The 19,582-nt window shown below is 41.3% G+C and overlaps 1 protein-coding gene across 7 annotated transcripts in view; it reads left to right on the plus strand.

Moving 5' to 3' along the window:
• SLC4A4 (solute carrier family 4 member 4) overlaps nucleotides 1-19,582 on the plus strand; it is a 509,424-nt gene that overhangs the window by 152,022 nt on the left and 337,820 nt on the right. Inside the window, exon 1 of one of the 7 annotated variants that reach the window (XM_024454270.2) lies at nucleotides 10,596-10,600. The exons of 4 other annotated variants lie outside the window; for them this stretch is intronic. The gene's annotated coding sequence lies outside the window, so the exon portion shown is untranslated. Of the gene's footprint in view, nucleotides 1-10,595; nucleotides 10,601-15,153; nucleotides 16,593-16,845; nucleotides 16,971-19,582 lie in introns of those variants that run through there. 2 more of the 7 variants (XM_024454272.2, XM_024454271.2) reach the window with 2 other exon arrangements.

A 19,582-nucleotide genomic window follows, 5' to 3' on the forward strand; every position in this document is an offset into this window, starting at 1 on the left:
TACTAATGTTTCTGAATCTTTTTCATGTCACAGAGTGCTCAGTAAATAATAATATTTGCATGGTACACTGGGTAAACAGTCTGGACATCTTTTGGCCTGGGGCTTGGGCTCTGCCTGGCCCTGCCTGGCAGCTCCCAGGAGTGAGGGGCATCTCCACCCACTTGAAACTTACTCCAACCCTGGTTTAGAACCATGAGGATTCACAGTTGATGCAGTAGTAGCTTTATGCATTATGCAGCTTTATGCATTCTATACTGGCAACTTGGGTTATGATTTTGCTTTTGCTGTGATTTCCTAGTGTGCTTAGGACTTTTTGTCTGAATTATCTGATCTCTAACCCAGAGTCAATATGTTACTTATCTTATTAGCAACTAGGCATGCTGAGAGAATAAATAAATTGTGTGTAACTCTTTGAGTATCTTCAAAGTAATACCCTATGCTATTACAACGGTATCACAAATGTTGGATCACAAATGTCATTTAGTCCATCCTTCTGTCCTCTCCTCAATCTTGTTGATAGTACAGGGTAGACTAAAACATCACAGCTGGGTTTCTTTATTTCCCCTGAATTTATTAATTCGCTCCTGACTGCTTTTTTCTTGTTTTGTTTTACTAAGAACTTTGTGTTCTGGTCCTGTCCAAGGTGCAGATGGTTATGCTTTCAAAACACCTTATTGTCATAATAGCACTCATTTCAAATAATACTCTACTCTCAGTTTCACCATTTCAAGCACTATTCATTTGATTCTTGAGGAGAAGGTGATGCTCTTCCACTGATCCTCCAGGAAGGGTCTGATCCTCCAGGAAGGCTCCATCCACCTCGTTCCTTTCCCAGGTTCATAAGGAGGGTGGCAGTGTCAAATGAACCCTGTGCCAGGCACTTTCACATTCAGTAAGGAGAGCATGGGTTTTAGAGTCAGACAGATCTAAGTGTGAATTTCCATCTCTTCCCTTTTAGACTCTGTAACCTCAGGACATTAACTTTATGATTATGGGACTGTGTTTCATCCTATGTAAAGTGGAGCTAGTGGTAACTACTGGGTGTGTGCTGCCGTGATGATCACAAGTGAACCGTCCCAAAGGGGCTAGCAAACAGTGGGTGCTCAACAAACGATACATATAATTATCATTATTGATAATTCTGTAATGCATTGTACAGAGTCAGTTGTTTTACCGAACAAAATAAATTATTATTGCTTGTCTACCAACTTTGTCATTTCTATTTTTTTTTTTTTTTTTTTGAGATGGAGTCTTGCTCTGTCGCCCAGGCTGGAGTGCAGTGGCGTGATCTTGGCTAATTGCATCTTCCGCCCCCACCCCGGATTCAAGCAATTCTCCTGTCTCAGCCTCCCAAGAAGCTGGGATTACAGGCGTGCACCACCAGGCCTGGCTAACTTTTGTATTTTTAGTAGAGACGGGGTTTCACCATGTTGGCCATGCTGGTCTCGAACTCCTGGCCTCAAGTGATCCACCCACCTTGGCCCCCCAATGTGCTGGGATTACAGGCGTGAGCCACAACTCCCAGCTATCATTTCTATTTAAGAAACCATTCATTTCAGAAAATTAGTTCTTACCAAAGATGTGTTAACTGAAATAACATTTTTTTCTTGCTTTCATTCCTCTGTCACTTCTATTTTTAATGTTTCTTTTATTCTGATTTTTAAAAATTGGCATTTGGGGTCATTTTTAAGTTTTATTCTTGTCAAAAACATTACACAAACAGGTCTGTATTTCCCAGGGTGACCACCTTTCAAAAATGCCCAGCTGGCCCATTTCCATGCCTCAGCCATGTGCCCAGTTAGTCCTCTGACTATTATCAACAAGTTGAGAAATTTGACCTCTGATATATCAAGAGGCACATGCTTGATGATTTCTTTCCTTGATTCCCTGCAAGGTTCAAAAGAGGGAAGCTCCTCTTATCCTTTATTTTTGGCTTCCACCTTGGAACTAATAAGCTTAGAAAAGACTTTGGAAGGCTATCTGGTTATCCCTCCTGCTCCATGCTGAGGAGGGAGCATGGCATGGAGCATTGGAGTCAGAGCTGGGTTTGAATTCTCTCTCCGCCAGTTGCTAGTAATGTGACCGTCATAAACTTGTGCCAGGTGGCAGCAATTTGACCTTTATGAACTTGTGCCTGTCTGGGAGAAATTAAGGACTTGCGGCATGACAATACTAGCTACGTGCCTTGTCTACCTGCTCTATGCTAAGTATCTACCACGCAGGGTGCTTTTGTGTCTGTTATCCCATAGCTTCTCCACAACTGAACAATGTGGGTATTACTAAGTCCATTTTTCAGATGAGAAAATGGAGGCTTAGAGAGTTGGTAACTTGAATTACATTCACTTTATAAAAATTCTTTACTAATTTTGTTTTAAAGAAACTGTGTGAGTGGGACAAGATGTGGAGAATAAGAATTGAGCAAGAAATACCACTTTAGATTTGCTTTGACATTAAAGTTTTTTTTTAAAGCAATTTAATCCTTACTGAGACTGAATAATATGTTTCTACTAATGAATGGGCTGTCAGCTCTAATGATAAAACAGTGCAAATCAGCAGTATAATGGAGCAATAAATGATTTGGGTACTAACAAAATGGCAGTTATGGGCTGGGTGTGGTGGCTCACGCCTGTAATCCCAGCACTTTGGGAGGCTGAGGTGGGCGATCCTGAGGTCAGGAGTTTGTGACCAGCGTGGCCAACATGGTGAAACCCCGTTTCTACAAATACAAAATATTAGCTGGGTGTGGTGGTGTGTGCCTGTAATCCCAGCTATTTGGGAGGCTGAGACAGGAGAATTGCTTGAACCTGGGAGGTGGAGATTGTCATGAGCTGAGATCGTGTCACTGCACTCCAGCCTGGGTGACAGAGTGAGACTCCATCTCAAAAAACAAAAACAAAAACAAACCACCAACAACGAAATGGCATTTATGTAGCTTAGAGAGTAGTTTTTATCTGTAGATGCTTATTATATGGTTGCTTTTCAAAGACCATTGTAAACAAAAATGATTCTATGACTGTAACAGAAATAGGAAACTCTCAGCTGGTCATCACTTCTATTTGGTATAAGAGTGGCATCATATGTACTTAGCTGGCATTTCCTGATTGACTGTTGGTTTTTATAGAACTGGAAGCAGAGGCAGGAAGACTTACAAAACAGACTCTGAGGTCTTCATCAAGGCTGGAATGTGGTAGTGACAGTCTGACATGCACTGCTTTTGGCTTTTCTTCCTTTTTGGCTTTGGCTGAAGCTAGTGAGCTGGGGGGACTGTGAAAGTTAAAACAAATGGAGAGTGTAGGGAAAGTGATCTTTGCTTTTTCTAAGACTCTTCTTGGCAATGGGACTTTTCTTCTGATATTTACAAGAAGAAATAATTCTTTCTTTTTTAATAGTGGCATGTAAAGTGATCCAAGTAGGTAATAGTTCATAAGCAAGTCCCAAATCTCCAGAAGGGAGATGTCATGATACTGAACAGCTCTTTAAGAAGTGAGTGATGTTTTACTTTGGTCTTCAGAGGTCTGTGTTTATCCAAATAATGGAGTTTTGAGATAATGAGAAAAGCAAATGCAAAAAGTTACCTTAGACAACATGCGTATGTAATTTCTTCTTAGAGTTGGTTTGTCTCAACTGGTTATGGTTAATTTTATTTGTGATTATCTATTAGAGGTAACACTGGTATTTATGCTCTAATTTCAGTCACTTGTTTGATGACCTTTCTAAACAAATACGTGTGCTGCTTCCAACTTAATTTTGGAATGCCATCACTTTATATTTATTATTTAGTTGTTTGAAACTCAAAATGTATTTCACTGTAGAAAGCAATATTAGAATGGTGCTTAGTGTTCCAGACCCATTCAAATCCGTACAAATCTATTTCACCCATAATATACCTAAAACAGTACTATTAGCACTATAATATTATTAGTAATTTTGATACTGTGAGCTAATAATCTATATGGGTTGTATCACTTAGTAGCTGTGTGAACTTGACAACTTGCTTGCATCTTTAAATCTCAGTTTTATCATCTGTAAAAGGGGGATGATAATAGTAGCAGCTATTTCATTGACGAGTAGTCAAGCTTAAATAATTCATATAAAGCACTTATTATATTAAATTTTATTATTATTTCTATAATTTGGCCACATTTTCAGAAAATTGAACTTTGTGAGTTGGCCTTGGAACCTAAGCAACAAATGTAATATTACTTCCTTGGGAAAAATAGGTATCCTGTGTTTGGCAAGAAGGGACTATGCTGTCACTGGGAACATCCTTCTTCTTCTTTTCCCTTGTATCCCATCAATGTCTAGTAATACAAGGGACTGTATTAGTTTTTGGAGAGTTTTTATTCTTCTAGGATCACAGGGAAGCTCACTTTTCTGCAGAAACATCACAAGAGCCTCTAAGTGTTCAAGTGAAAGGAAGAGTAGCACGTCTCTCACTTTAAGTTAAAAGCTAGAAATGATTAAGCTTAGTGAGGAAGGCATCTCAAAAGCCAAGATAGGTCAAGAGTTAGGCCTCTTGCCGCAATCGTTAGTTAAGTTGTGAATGCAAAGGAAAAGTGCTTGAAGAAAATTAGAAGTGCTACTCCAGTGAATACACCAATGACAAGAAAGTGAAAACAACCCTTAAGATTTATGCTAAATCTCCTCTGCCTATGCTCTGAAGATGGAACAGCACAGCCTAGATAACAGTACATCTGTTTATAGCATGATTTACTGAATATTTTAAGCTCACCGTTGAGACCTACTTTCAAAATTTTGCTGCTTATTGACAAAGTGCCTGGTTACCCAAAAGCTCTGATAAAGAGGTACAAGGAGATGAATGGTGGTTTTTATGTGTGCTAAAATAACTTTCATTCTGCAGCTCATGGATCAAGGAGTAATTTCGACTTTCAAGTCTTATATTTAAAAACACATTTTGTAAGGCAATAGCTGTCATAAATAGTGATTTCTCTGATGGGTCTGGGCAAAGTAAATTGAAAACCTTCTGAAAAGGATTTACCATTCTAGATGCCATTAAAAACATTTATGATTCATGGGAGGATGCCAAAATATCTACAGAAACAGAAGTTTAAGAGGAAGTTGATTCTAATCCTTATGGGTGATTTTGATTCATTACTTCGATGGAGAAAGTAACTGCAGAAGTGATGGACATAGCAAGAGAACTAGAATTAGAAGTGGAGCCTGAAGAAGTGACTGAATTGTTACAACCTCATGACAAACTTGAATGGATGGGGAGTCACTTCTCATGGATGAGCAAAGAAAGTGATTTCTTGAGATCGAATCTGCTCCTGGTGAAGATGCTGTGAACATTGTTGACATGACAACAAAGGATTGGGATTCAGAATATTACATAAACCTAGTCGATAAAGTAGCAGCACGGTTTGAGAGGATTGACTCCAATTTTGGAAAAAGTTCTACTGTGGGTAAAATGCTGTTCAACAGCAATGCATGCAACAAAGAAATACTTTGTGAAAGGAAGAATCAATTGATGAGGCAAACTTTATTGTCCATCAGAGTTGAGGCAAGACCTTCCACTAGCAAAAAATTACAACTTGGTGAAAGCTCTGGTGATTGTTAGCATTTTTTAGCAATACAGAATTTTAAAATTAAGGTATGTGCATTTTTTAGACATAATGCTATTGCACACAATAGACAACAGTGTAGTATAAACGTAACTTTTATATGCATTGGGAAACAAAAATTTCATGTGACTCGCTTTATTGTGATATTTGTTTTATTGTGGTGGAGTGGAACCGAACCTGCAACATCTCTGACATATGCCTCTAAAGACATTAAAAATATATATAACCTCACCACCATTATCATACCTAATACAATTAATAATAATTCCTTAGTACCGTCTAATACCCAATTAATATCCAAGCTTTCTTGATTGTCTCAAAATAGTTTTTTAAACAGTTGATTTGTTTGAATTAGCATCTCAACCCATGTGTCACATTAGATAGTTATGTCTTATGGGTGTCTTTTTTCTCTCAGAGTTAAGGAGAGTGTTTTTATTTTATTTTATTTATTTTTTTTAACTTTTATTTTAGGTTTTGGGGGTACATGTGAAGGTTTGTTACATAGGTAAACGCATGTCATGGGAGTTTGTTGCACGTATTATTTCATCACCCATGTATTAAGCCCAGTACCCAATAGTTGTCTTTTCTGCTCCTCTCCCTCCTTCCACACTCCCCGCTAAAGTAGACCCCAGTGTCTGTTATTTCCTTCTTTGTGTTCATAAGTTCTTGTCATTTAGCTCCCACTTACAAGTGAGAACATGCAGTATTTGGTTTTCTGTTCCTGGGTTAGTTTGCTGAGGATAATAGCCTCCAGCTGCATCCATGTTCCTGCAAAATACATGATCTTGTTCTTTTTCATGGCTGCATAGCATTCCATGGTATATTGGTACCACCCTTTCTTTATCCAGTGTCATTAACGGGCATTTAGGTTGATTCCATGTCTTTGCTATTGTGAATAGTGCTGCAGTGAACATTCATGTGCATACGTCTTTATGGTAGAATGATTTATATTCCTCTGGGTATATACCGAGTAATGGAATTGCTGGGTTGAATGGTAGATAGTTCTGCTTTTAACTCTTTGAGGATCACCTTACTGCTTTCCACTGTGAAGGACAGTGTTTTTAAATTGGGATGTAACGTCCTTCCACAATGTGGACCACTCCTGTTTGTACAAACAAGTGGCTAGAACCAAACACGGGATGTCATTCTTATGGCAAAGGATGACAAGCTCAGGGCATTTTCCCCCAAAGTGCAGTCAGTGTAACCATGGAATCAGAAAACTCATAGTTTAAAACAACTTTAAATGTATTCCTTTTTTATTTAAGGTATCAATTTGAATCGTGGGTGTTAAAAAAAAACACCAACAATAAGCTCTATGCTATTCTCATGATATCCACATATTAATCATCTGCTTTGGCATCTTCTAGCACTACGTGTTGCCATCCCTGGGGCAGATTTAGGTAGGCGAGGTTTCAAGTGGCAACAACTTGAGTCATGAACTTTGGAGCTAGTTTGGCAGAAGTTGATAAAGATTATATTAACAAGTTAATGCAGATTGGCCTTTGTCATGAGCACTGAAACATTGCTCAGCACCTTCACAAGGCAGAAGTCAAGGTCAAGGCTCTGAACCCTCGGGATGAAGTCTCCTAAGGTGTGTTGATTCATTTTTGGATCTGCAGAGGATTGGGTCAAGTTCTGACATGGTGCTGTAGGATTCTGATCCAGCAGACCCCACCTGTAACCTCTGTGCTACACTAGTTGTGGCCCCAGAAAGACCTTCTAAGCAGGTTTCAGGAAGCACCTTAATGGAAATGTTTATATAATGACAGAGACTTAGGTAAAGACTATAAGCTCGAGGAAGTATCACTCTATTGCTTAGACCATCCAGTGGCTTTCTAGTTGTTCAGAGTAAGCACTAAAGCCCTTCATACAGTAGCCTTCCAGACCCAAAGCAGCCTGCCTCTCCTTTACCTTCACCTCTCTGATTTTATCTCCAGCCCTCCTGACTCACTCTGCACCACCTACTGGCCTCCTTGATGTTCCAGTAATCTTCCTGGCTATTTCCTGCCTCAGGGCCTTTGCATTTGCTGTTCTCTCACATAACTGCAAGTCTCACTTCCTTACCCTTTTCAATCTTTGATCAACTATCACTCGTTGAGGCCTTTCTTAACTACCTATTTAAAACTGCACCACTACCCAGTTTAACCAGCATTCCCTAAATCTCTTCCTTGCTTACATTTTTCCATTGTAGTATCAACTTTTAACACATTATGCAACGATTTTTAAATTTTGGGTATTGTCTATTTCCCACCATGGATTCATCCTTCGTGCCTAGAATAATGCCTAGTCATAGCAGACACTCAATAAATTGAATAAATGAATGAGTAAATGAATTAAACTTTGGAAAATTAGATCACAAGTGTACACTGAGAGATTTCTTGGGAAAAATGAAGGATAAACTTTGAACAGCATTGTGGAAAGAGACATTTTAATAAGGGAACACAGACTAGAGAAATGTCTTCAATGTTCTTGTAATAGTGAACTGTGCTCATAAAGTTTATGAGATAAAAGTTGTTTTTCTGCTTAGTAGTGCAGCCCACGTGGTGAGTGATGCACTCTTCTGGCTTTTGATACAGTAGTTCCTTGGCATGTGTGAATTTAACAATTGTGATTTCAACTATTTGCTAGCAGCCCTAGAGGGTCATACCATGTAGTGGGTTTGTGCTTTGGTGGACAACCATGTGGCCAAGTGGTGAGCCGAGGCTGAGCTGGCAGATGGAAATTAGATGCTGTGTGATACTTGTGAATTGGGGAATTTGCAAAATGGGCCTGGGGAGGGGATGTTCATGAATGTCAAGGGTCTGTATACTCTTTAATTATTCAGTGAGTCTACTCTTTCACTAAAGGTCTGTTTAATATTTGTGATCCCAGGTTCCTAGAGTTTTTATTTTTGTTTTTGTTTTGCACTGATACTCTTTTTTTTTTTTTCTGAGACCAAGCCTCCCTCTGTCGCCCAGGCTGGAGTGCAGTGGCGCGATCTCAGCTCACTGCAAGCTCCACCTCCTGGGTTCAGGCCATTCTCCTGCCTCAGCCTCCCGGGTAGCTGGGACTACAGGCACCCACCCCCGCGCCTGTCTAATTTTTTGTATTTTTAGCAGAGACGGGTTTTCACCGTGGTCTCAATTTCCTGACCTCGTGATCTGCCTGCCTCGGCCTCCCAAAGTGCTGGTTTTACAGGCGTGAGCCACCGTGCCCGGCCTGCACTGACATTCTTTTATTTGAGATGCAGAGATCTGTGCTCAATCAGGGTTGAGTGGAATGGGATTTAAAGAACTTATCAAGTATATAACTGAGTTCAAACAGTTCAAACTATTTTCAACTTTACATCTGATTCCCAAGAATGAAGCAGAAAATGAAGATGCTTGCATGTGGGCCTCCTAGATTGAGTATCTGGCACAAGAAAAGCCTGCCCAAAGCCAAGTAGGCCGCCATTTCCCTTTCCTTTGTAGGGTGATCTCACATCCATGGTCCCTTAGATCCAATGCTTTTAGGAGCTCGGGTCCTCACAGCCCTGTTCCGAGACTCATGAACTCGGAGTCTCAAAGCCCAGATCCCATTCCCACAGAAGCCCGTCTTCACTGCCCGCTTCTGTTCCCTTCCGAACTCAGATTTTCTCAGTCTGCTTCTGCCCCTCAGGAACCTGAGTCTTCGTGGCCCCGTTTCTGATCCTTAGGAGCCCGGATCTTCACTGTTCCTCTTCTGCCACTTAGGAGCCCAGGTCCTCACTGCCCCATTTTTACCTCTCCGGAGCCCGTGTCTTCACACCTCATTCCTTTCCGGTCCTCTCCTCTTAGGAATGCGGGCTCTCACAATCCTGTTCCTCCCAGACAGATTTCCCTCAGATACTGGAGAACTCACATCCATAGCCGTTCCCTAAGTCCCGTCTGGAGCCCGGGTCCCTACAGCCACTTCTTCTCTGAGCCTGATCCTCTCAGTCCCTTCCCAAGAGCCTGAATCCTCACAGCCCATCTCATCCACAACCTGGTCCTGCGAACACTGACCCACTGTAGGTGTTGGTCCTGACTTCCTCCTCCCGCTCTTGTTCCTCAACTGCCAGAGCTCAAGACTCCCCAAGATATTTGGAGAGTTTTAACAGATCAGTCGAATTGGCTAAAAAGAGGCAGCTTGACATTGAGTGGGTAAGAGAACAGATTTTGGAGCTAGTCCTCCTGGGTTTGAATCCTGACATCAACAGTTATAGCCATGTGGTTTTTTTTGGGAATGTGACTTAATTTCTCTGTATTTCAGATATGATGGTGATAAAAACAGTACAAATCTCATGGGATTGTTGTATTAAATGAGCTAATAATATTTGTAAAGCAATTACAATAGTAACTAAGACATAGTAAGCACTACCTAAGTGTTTGCTAAATAAAAATAAAGACATTGATTTGGGGGGGATTGCTACAGGATGCTCCGGTCTTTGGCCAGTAGGCACACCAAAGTGGGGAAAGAGGTAAGTGATGTAATTTGAAATTATAAGAAGGCATATATGTATGAAGAAATATTCTTGAAGATAATCCTTGGTGGGCATTGATTAGTTAATTATGAAAGAGTATAGTAGAGTGGTTAAAATTGTGGACTGCTAAATTAGTCTGCATGCCTGGTCTTCTCATCACATGTACTGTGTGATTTTGGGCAAATTATTTAACTTCAAAATTAGAACTTTAAAGTGGGTGTGTGAAAAGTCCCTACCTCATGGCATTGTCATGAAGATTGAATTAAATAATCATCACGAAGTATTTAGCTTAGTACTTGGCAAGTAGTAAGTATTTAAAATGTGACTGAAAAAATTAATAGATAATGGGCCAGGTGCGGTGGCTCACGCCTGTAATCCCAGCACTTTGGGAGGCCTGGGTGGGTGGATCACCTGAGGTCAGTAGTTGGAGACCAGCCTGGCCAACATGGTGAAACCCCATCTCTACTAAAAATACACAAGTTAGCTGGGCATGGTGGCGCATGCCTGTAATCCCAGCTACTTGGGAGGCTGAGGCAGGAGAATCGTTTGAACCCAGGAGGTGGAGGTTGCGGTGAGCTGAGATCGTACCACTGCACTCCAGCCTGGGTGACAGAACAAGACTCCGTTTAAAAAAAAAAAAAAGATAATGAAAGTCCCTAATCTCAGTTCCTACATTGTTATAGGTATTGACATCCTTTAGCTAGAACCTTCAGTTCTTTCCCTGTTACTGAGTCAGATAAAATAAGATGGCATCCAGAAGGAAATAATGCATGTATGTTGCTTAGCACACTGACTGACATGTAGCAAGAACTTAATAAAATTTCAGGAGCCTCATCCCTGCCAGCTGGGTGGTGGTTCAGGATGGGAGATGTGAACACTGTGGTTGCCATGTTGGGTAGAGGTAGGAAGGTTTGCCTAAACCCGTTTCAGAAGGCATCTTCTCCAATGTCAGCTGTGTGTGTCAGAGGTGGGTGGGTCAGGGGGCTGTACATGATCAGGTGCCATGGAGCTGACTCCCAGCCCTGTGTCCTGGAACAAACTCCTGCTCTTGAGTCCCCATCTGCCTGCCAATCTGCATCTGATCTGAGATCACTGTGAAATCCACAGTAAATGTGCAAAAGTCACAGACTACAATGAATATGAATTAACTGACGATTTTAGTTATTCATGCTATTGCCGTGCTAATTACTACAAATAATTTATCACTGACTGTGTATAAACATAAAACTAAGCTACAATTTCTAGAGCTTAAGGCTTATATTGACATTTTGAATCCTAATTTTATTTGCAGGTAGCTGCCATCCAGCTTCTTTATAGGTTTACCTAAACACATTACAGAGTTTTATTTGTCCAGTTGCAGGCCTGATGAGCAAAATTGAACTTTCTTATAACTTTCCTGCTGCTTCTGGGTATTTATTATTTTTTTTTAGAGATAGATCTCACTATGTTGCATAGGCCGGAGTGCAGTGGCTATTCACAGGCACGATTGTAACGCACTACAGCCTCAAAGCTCCTGGGCTCAAGCAGTCTTCCCACCTCAGCCTTCCTAGTAGCTGGGACTTTAGGCATATGCCACTGTGCCAGGCTTTGCTTCTGGCTATTTAAAGTAGTTTATGGTGTGATTTATTTTTAAGTTCATTCATTATTCTGTTCGTGGAACAAACTTTTATTTAGAATCAAATATGTGGCAGGTCCAGGTACCTCTTAATTTCTTTTTTAGCAGACAAGGGGAAATTCTCATTTGAATTTAATTTGACCCCTACATTTGAGAGTATAGTTATAGTCTGTGTGGAGAGCTAAGATCTAATGTTAGTCTATAAAGAGAAAATTATATAGTTAAAAATATGCTTGAAAAATCCCTTAATTCAACCATAAACATAATACTCTTCAGGGAGTATAGCACAGCCATTTTCCCCCCTTTCTTTGGAACAAATCACTATTTCTTCAGTTGAATAACAGGCTAAGTAATTGGAAATTTGCTTGTTTATGGGGTTTATGTTGTTTGAAATACACATTCAGGGCCTTTAGACTTACAGATCCACTTAATACCAAACATGCATGTGCCCTCACTGTGCCTATTTCTAACTGGTTGATTGACTGATGGATTGATTCATAGTCACTGAATCAATTGATTAATTGATTCATTCATAGTCACTACACATAGTCACTACACATAGTTAGTAGACTATGTGTAGTGACTATGCTTGATACTAGAGGTAGAAAAACTTCAGAAAGACAGTATTTGCTCTCAAAGAGCTCATAATGTGGTGGGGACAAGAGCCATGACATGCCCAAGTACAGTTGAGTGATGATAAGTTATAATGACAATGCATTGTAACGTGCTATATGAGAAGCAGGCACATTCAGGAAGCCAATGGAGAACAGAGGAAGGAGCATAGCTCTGCTCAGGGAAGGGTATGTCTGATAATGTAGAGAGGCTTCTGGAGAGGTTGGATCTTAAGTTGGGTTTTGAAGAATGGGTTAACTAAGATGATATATTAATTAGAGGAAATAGCATGTACACGAAGGTGTGGTGGACGGTTCAGGGTGTATGGCATGGGGATGGTAGGACCTGAGCTTACGTTTCATGTTAAGCAAGTTGGATTTCATCTTCCATGTAATGAAGAAACACTGAAGGCACTTTAAAAGGAGAGATACCAAAGTGTGTTTTATAAATGGATGGCTTAGAGGGGAATGAGTTCAGATCCAGGGAGCCCAGAGAGAAACCACTGGTGAGAAGGCAGATGGGAATCCAGCCATCCTACACTCACATCAAACCTGAGCATTTTGGGGCATCCACTGACTAACAGCTGCCTTGCAGGGTGGGCTTTCAGCTGTAGATATTCCCTTTCCCGTGATTGTCCTGTGGGGTATCATCCCTTCTTCCCTTTGCTCTTCTTTCCTTATTCTGCTGCTGGTTTGGGTCTGGCTCTTGGTTGAAGAGCTGATGGTGGTGGGGAGGAGGGGACAGAGGATAAACATGCCCGTCGCCATCCTCTGTGCTGGTGTGTCATATGGAGGAGCCCAGCCATTTCATCTTGCCTGATTCCTGTCTTAGGACCTTTCTGATTTTCACACAAGAAGCCTTGAAGAAGGGTGATTGAAAGCTAAAAGAGTTTAGAAGGGAGCTTCTTTTTCCTGTCTGTAACGGTAAAACCTCTGAGAAAATGTTGGAAGGACAAAGTATTTGGTTTCTGACAGAGGAAGGAGACTACTGTATTCTACAATGGAACTCTGGTCAGAAGCAGCACACGGTCTTTGTGGAAGCACGTGAAATGGTCCATTAAAAATATTAAGGAGCATGTGAGTGTGAGTGTAGGCTAAGTCAGGGAATGTCCTGAGGAGTCATGAATGAAGTCCTCCTTTCAGCACTTCATACCCTCCCCCACAGCACTTTCTCCCTTCATCTTTCACCTTCCCTGGTCTCTGAGCCTTTTCTCACCCCAGAGTCTCCATTCTCCTATCAATTATTTTCTTGCCCTTTGTTGCTGAGCCTGCTCCAGCCTTTCAGAAGTCAATCAACAATCTGAAGACAGAGTTTAGGAGACTTAGCCCTAGCATGGAGAAGATGGAAAGGGAGAGTTTGATCCTAATAGTTTGAGGGACAGTTTATCTGTGGTCTCCCCAGTCAAAAATCCCGTGCATTTGCTCATGAGACAGAATCATGACCTCTGGGTCTGTAGGAGTATTAATACTCTATTCTCTGGGCCCTAGGAACTTTATATTTGACTTAACTGAAACTGGTTGGATTTATTTAGGAAATTATTTAATTCCCTAAACTAACTTCTGAAGTGGTATAAGCTCATTTTAAAAGACACTGAAGTGAGAGGTTAGTTAACTTTCTAAGCTTACACACAAAGTGTGCATCTGGGATTTTGTATTCAGTTTTGCCTGATTCTGCATGTGTGTTGGTGGACCAGCTGATTGTACCTGACCACCATGTAGAATAATGTTTCTAGGGGAAATTAAAAAACAGAGTTACAAATGAGCTTTTTTAAATTGAAAATTTTATTGAGGTAATTGTAGATTCAAATGCGTATTTGAGAAATTATACAGAGAGGTTACTGGTGCAGAAAAGCTCCACTTTGCCAGATTTTCCCAAGGTTAACATTTTACAAAGAGGTAGTATAATGTCATAACCAGCATATTGGCACTGATACAATTCACCAAACTTTATTCACATTTCCTGTTTTACTTGTACTAATTTCTCTCTCTCTCTTCTCTGTCTGTATTAAGTTCTATACGATTTTATCACCTATGTTGATCCATGTATCCACAGATAAGATACTGAATAGAGCCAACCACAGGGGTCCCTCGTGTTACCCTTGTTAACAACAAATACCTCCATCTTTAACCCCTGGCAAACATGAATCTGTCCTAAATCTGTCCTTCATTTCTAAAATTTTGTCACTCCATATAAATTGTATAATGTAGTTTGTAACCTTTTGGGATGAGCTTTTCTCACTCAGCATAACCCCCTGGAAATTCATTCAATTTGGTGTGTGTATCAATAGTTTGTTCATTTTTCTTGCTAAGCAGTATTTCATGGTATGGATGTACCATAGTTTAACCACTCTCCTGTTGAAAGACATGTGGATTAATTCTGGACTTTTCTACTATACTTAAAGCTGCTGTAAACATTCATGTACAGGTTTTTGGGTGAACGTAAGTTTTTATTTCTCTGGGATAAGTGCCCAAGAGTACAAATGAACTTTTAATACAGTTCATAAATCCAGAATTAGATTTGGCGTGATCTTGCTCTGGGTTGCATTTTCACCTTTTATCCAGTTCTCTCAGTCTGATTTTGTGTGGGGCTCTCACCTATTTCCCTCTGGCCCTGGGCCTGTGTAAATTTCCAGGCTGATTAGGGTGCTCCTGAGCTCTGGGAAGGAGATTTGCTTCGCTTTGTTGCTGGCTGATCTCCGGGAGTCATCACTGCTATCAGTCATGCTTGTCAGTTTTGCCGCACCGATGTCCCTTTCCCCCAGTATGGATGTCCAGAGCTCCAGCGGTCTGCATAGTTAAGTCAGCAACTGTGTTCTGTCTTACTTCCTGTGGGAATGAAAGGCCTTCTTAGAGCCCCTGCGAAGTTTTTTTTTTTTTTTTTTTTTCCCAGCCCCTGTGAAATTTTAAAAGGAATGGTTGCAGCTTTTTCTTGCCCTTTGGTTCCCTGTAGTGAACACATGTTGCCAAAAGATGGCAGTGCACTTTGCAGCCACTGAGATCGCTCTTCCCTGTCGCCTGGGGCTTAGAGAATTGTGTCTTGTTCTTTATGTGTATGTTGAAAATGTGCAGAGCAGATTTTACAAAACAACAAAAGCACCAATAAAATGCTGTGAAGTTTAGAATCATGAAAAAAAAATCACGTTTGCAAATGGTTTATAATGGAAATAGTCCCCCACTTCTTAAACATGATTTGAATAGGGAATAGAACTCAGAAATGTGTGTATGAGTGTATAATTTTAGGTGTCAGTACTGATTGTTATATTCTGTATAGCTCCTGAAAAAGACCTGTGAAATGCTGATTTTTGTCTTTCATCTGATCCAAGATTAGCCAAGTAACAGGCCTGCTTTTGAACTCTGAGACTGCAGTCCTCAAGTAAAGGCCCTTGTATACACTTAGTTTTCATGGCAAAAATGGCTAATAATAAAACTCTTCACTTGCTAGCATTGGTCACTCCCCTGTGTGCGTCACTTTGGTGTGCGTCTGTGGGCATGTGTGTAAAGAACTGTTTAAACATTGGCTATGCACCAGAAAGCTGTGTGAAGTGAGAGATTATGGGGTTCACCGGATGTCATAAACAGACCAAGCTGGTGAGGATAAAGTGGGATGAGTTGAAATACAAGATTAGCTAATAAACTTTAAGCTGCATGCACGGAGAGAACCAGTGATATTAAACTCTGGTATGGGCATGTTAAACACTGGTGCCCTGCTGCTCTCTAGGGTGCCATCCCCGATGCCTTTTGGGATGGAATCAAAAAGCCCTGCTATGAACTTGATCCATGTGCAGCATCGTTAAGTGCAGAGCAGGCTGTGGAAGAGAGTGGGCTAGCTCTGGGATTGGGTATACAAGCTCCGGAGTGGATCCTCTACACACCAGCCAGTGTGTCAAGGTTGGAGGCTCTGTTTCACTTCCCCTGAGCTCAGTACCGCAGTCGCTTTCATCCTACAGTTTACAAAGTAGCTGCAATCCTGGGTGGCAGGGAAACAGGTGGCTTCACGGTAAAGCAGCAGGCTTTTTGCTACTGCATCCTTTGGCAAAAGCTTGGGCTAGGAGGAGAAATGTGCTGTGTAAAGTTTTAACCCTGAAAGCAGATGCTGTTACTATAGAGACAAGTGAAATGCTACAGTGGGAGGCGTAACAGGGGAGGGATGGGAGAAGGGAGGTGGGAGGGCAAGTAAGGCGAATCTAAAGGCTAGCACACTCCAAGACCTTCAACCTTTAGCAGCACTGTGACGGGGCAGGCTTGCATTCTGAAACTTGTGTGCTGGCGGCCTGCCACGTGCTGACTGGCTGAGTGGCAGCTGCTTGCGCTGTGCGGACTAGCTGGTGAGCACGTTGGCAGTTGGCATGGGCTCTGGGGGTGGGAACTTAGAGGGGTGGAATGTAGATGGGTGCTCAAGACCCAATGGCTGACAGTTTTGCACAAATGTTTCTCATGCTGGGCTTAAGTCACCCTTACGAGCCTGCTCAGTGATTAGGACCGGCTGGTGAAAGCCGGTCCTTTTGGCAGTAGATATGACATGTGTTACAGTTAAATCATTGTGGTGTCCCAGAATAACAGAGAATAAGAAAAACCTTGCTTTGGGTGTGGACTTCTGTAGAAAGGGTATAACTTGTACGGTCAGAGGCCTGGCTGAAGGAAGGCATTATTGGCCCTGAGTGGATTTTATACTGACTGGTGTGACCCTTATCCCCGTGATGCTGGTGAGAAGCTTCCAAATCTATTCTGAACTTTGCCTCATGCTGGTGATGTGAGCAACCCAGGGAGCTTTTTAGAAACATGTTCTTCCCTTTCTTTGTTTTCAGCGAATGCAGGTTGTGTGAAAGGAACTTTTAAGAATGGGTTTGAGGGCCTGATTAAGGACTGGATGAGTTAATTTCTTCCTATTGATAGAAGGAGGAACTAGTTGGGTCAGATGGTTATTTTAAAAGATATCTCTGTCTTACTAATAATAGCAAGCAACTGCTGAGAGGATTTGCGGTGGGGAGGGACACGAACCCAAATAATTGACATTTGTGGTGTAAAGATGAAGAAAAGGTGCTGAATTCCTGTATTTTGTGCAGAAGCCTAGGTGCACCAGGCTGGACTTACTTCTAAGGAGGAGTGAGGGCTGCTCTGGAGAAAGGCTGCTGTGGGTGTACAGGTTTTATATTTTCCATTTGCCTCACTCACCTCTTTTTGCTTCCTACAGGGAAGAGGCTGCTTTGAGATGCTCTGCATTGTCTGTCAGAAAGAACGAAGTTTCTAATTACTTGCTATGTATAGTCTTGGAGGGAATGTGAAATATGCATCAAAGAGCCAAGGAATGCACCAATCATTATTCTCTCTCTCTAATTCAGATGGAACATAGTGACAGTGCCTCAGTTAGGCTGGATGGTTTTCTCAGCCTAGGAAGAGGGTTTTTCTGAACTTTTCTACTATCCCCTCCAGTTTTTGCTGGTTTTTATTTTCTCTTTGTTTCTGTTTTTCTTTTTTCTTTTAGAGATGAGAATTCACTGTGTTACCCAGACTGGAATGCAGTGGCCTAATCATAGCTCACTGAAGTCTTGAACTTCTGGGATCAAGCAGTCCTCCTATCTCAGCCTCCCACGTAGCTGGGACAACAGGTGCACACCACTGCACATAGCTAATTTGGAAAAAAAAATTTCAGAGATGGGTCTTGCTATGTTGCCCAGGCTGGTCTGGAACTCCTGGCCTCAAGCAATCCTCCCACTCGGCCTCCCAAAGCATTGAGATTACAGGCTGAGCCACTGTGTCAGCTTTTCTTCTTTTACTTCTTTGGTTGTTACATGCAATTTTGGGAATGGCTTAGGCACAAGGCTAAACATTTTAGTTAGGAAATTTGAAAAAAAGGCAACAAAAGACTTTAGGACCAGTTCGATTAATAGTGGGGTGCAGAAATGATGTTCCACATGAAATTGTGTTGGACTCTATAGGTTGGAAAGGGTTAGTTCTGATAGGACTGGAAAGGGTTAATGTGAGCTAAACCACTCTTTTTTCTAAAGGGGAGCTGGCACTATTAATGTACGTGCAGTAGCACAGGGCTTCAGGATTTTGTTGTGCTTCTGAGGTCTTTTAAGAAAATTTCCTCATTAAACTGTCATCCTTATCTATGTCTACAAATGTGTAATGGATGGGTTCTTGTCTTTTGAACTTATTTGCCTGGATTGCTAAGGGTAATCTTTGAGAAGGTGGATGTGATTGCATTAGGCACCTTGTCTGTCTTGCTCACTGTAACTCTAGTGCCTTGGCTTGTGCCTGCAACATAGTAGTAGCATCCAGTAAATATTTACTGAATGAATGAATGCAGGAAAGAGAAAAGAGAACTACTGAATGCCTCCTCTGTGTCTGCTACTGTGTGTGGTATGTAAAAATTATATTTGGCAATTAGAAGACATTGGTGATCATGACCAAAGTGCTTTTTACATCTCTTTCCATCTTTCTCAGCCACTCGGTAGCAGTACTCTCCTTTTGTCACTTCCTTGACATCACTCTTGCCTGGATTCTTACCTCATTGACTGTTTTTGTTCCTCTGCTCTGCTTGTAAATGTTGGCATGCCTCAGCACTTGGTCTTAGGTCCACTCCTTGATTTTTACATTTTCTTCCTGGATGATCTCATCCAGTAATAGCTTCAGGTACCAGCTTTATTCATTGGTTTCCTAATTTTTATCTCTAATCCTGAGCCTCTGAGCTCCAGACTCAGACATCTACTTGTATGTCCGATGGCTCATTTTTCATGTGTAATAAGCATCTTATTCTTAAAGTGGCTAAATAGAACTCTTGATTTGTTCCCCAACAACTTGTTTCTCCCATAGCCTTCCCCTGGCTCCTTCAATATTTTCTTAATTTCTCTTGTCCCCTTACTGTCCATTTTTCACATAGCAGCCAGGGTAATCTTTTAAAAATGAAAAACAGTTCAAGTCACTCTCCATTTTAGAACTCTTCATTGGCTCCCGTAACACCTAAAATTCTGACTCCTTACCCTGGTTTTGTGGCCCAATCAATATCATCTCCTAAAGTTGACCTTCTAGCCCTGTCCAGCTGTACTAACTTTGTTTCTGTTCCTGCAACATCCTAAACTTGTCTTCACCTTAGAGCCTTTGTACTTGCTGTTCCCTTTGCTTGGAACACATTACCTGCAAATATTCACAGTACTGATTCCTTCCTGTCATTTTTGTCTCTGCTCAGTTGTCATCCAGAAGCCTCATGTGAACCACCCTGTGCCAAGCAGTCCCTGCCTCATTTTATTTTCCACAAAGTGCTTAATGCTATCTGAGATTACCTTGTTCATCTATTCAGTATTAATTCTTGCGA

This window comes from Homo sapiens, chromosome 4 (genome assembly GCF_000001405.40).
Source record: "Homo sapiens chromosome 4, GRCh38.p14 Primary Assembly".
Taxonomy (NCBI): domain Eukaryota; kingdom Metazoa; phylum Chordata; class Mammalia; order Primates; family Hominidae; genus Homo; species Homo sapiens.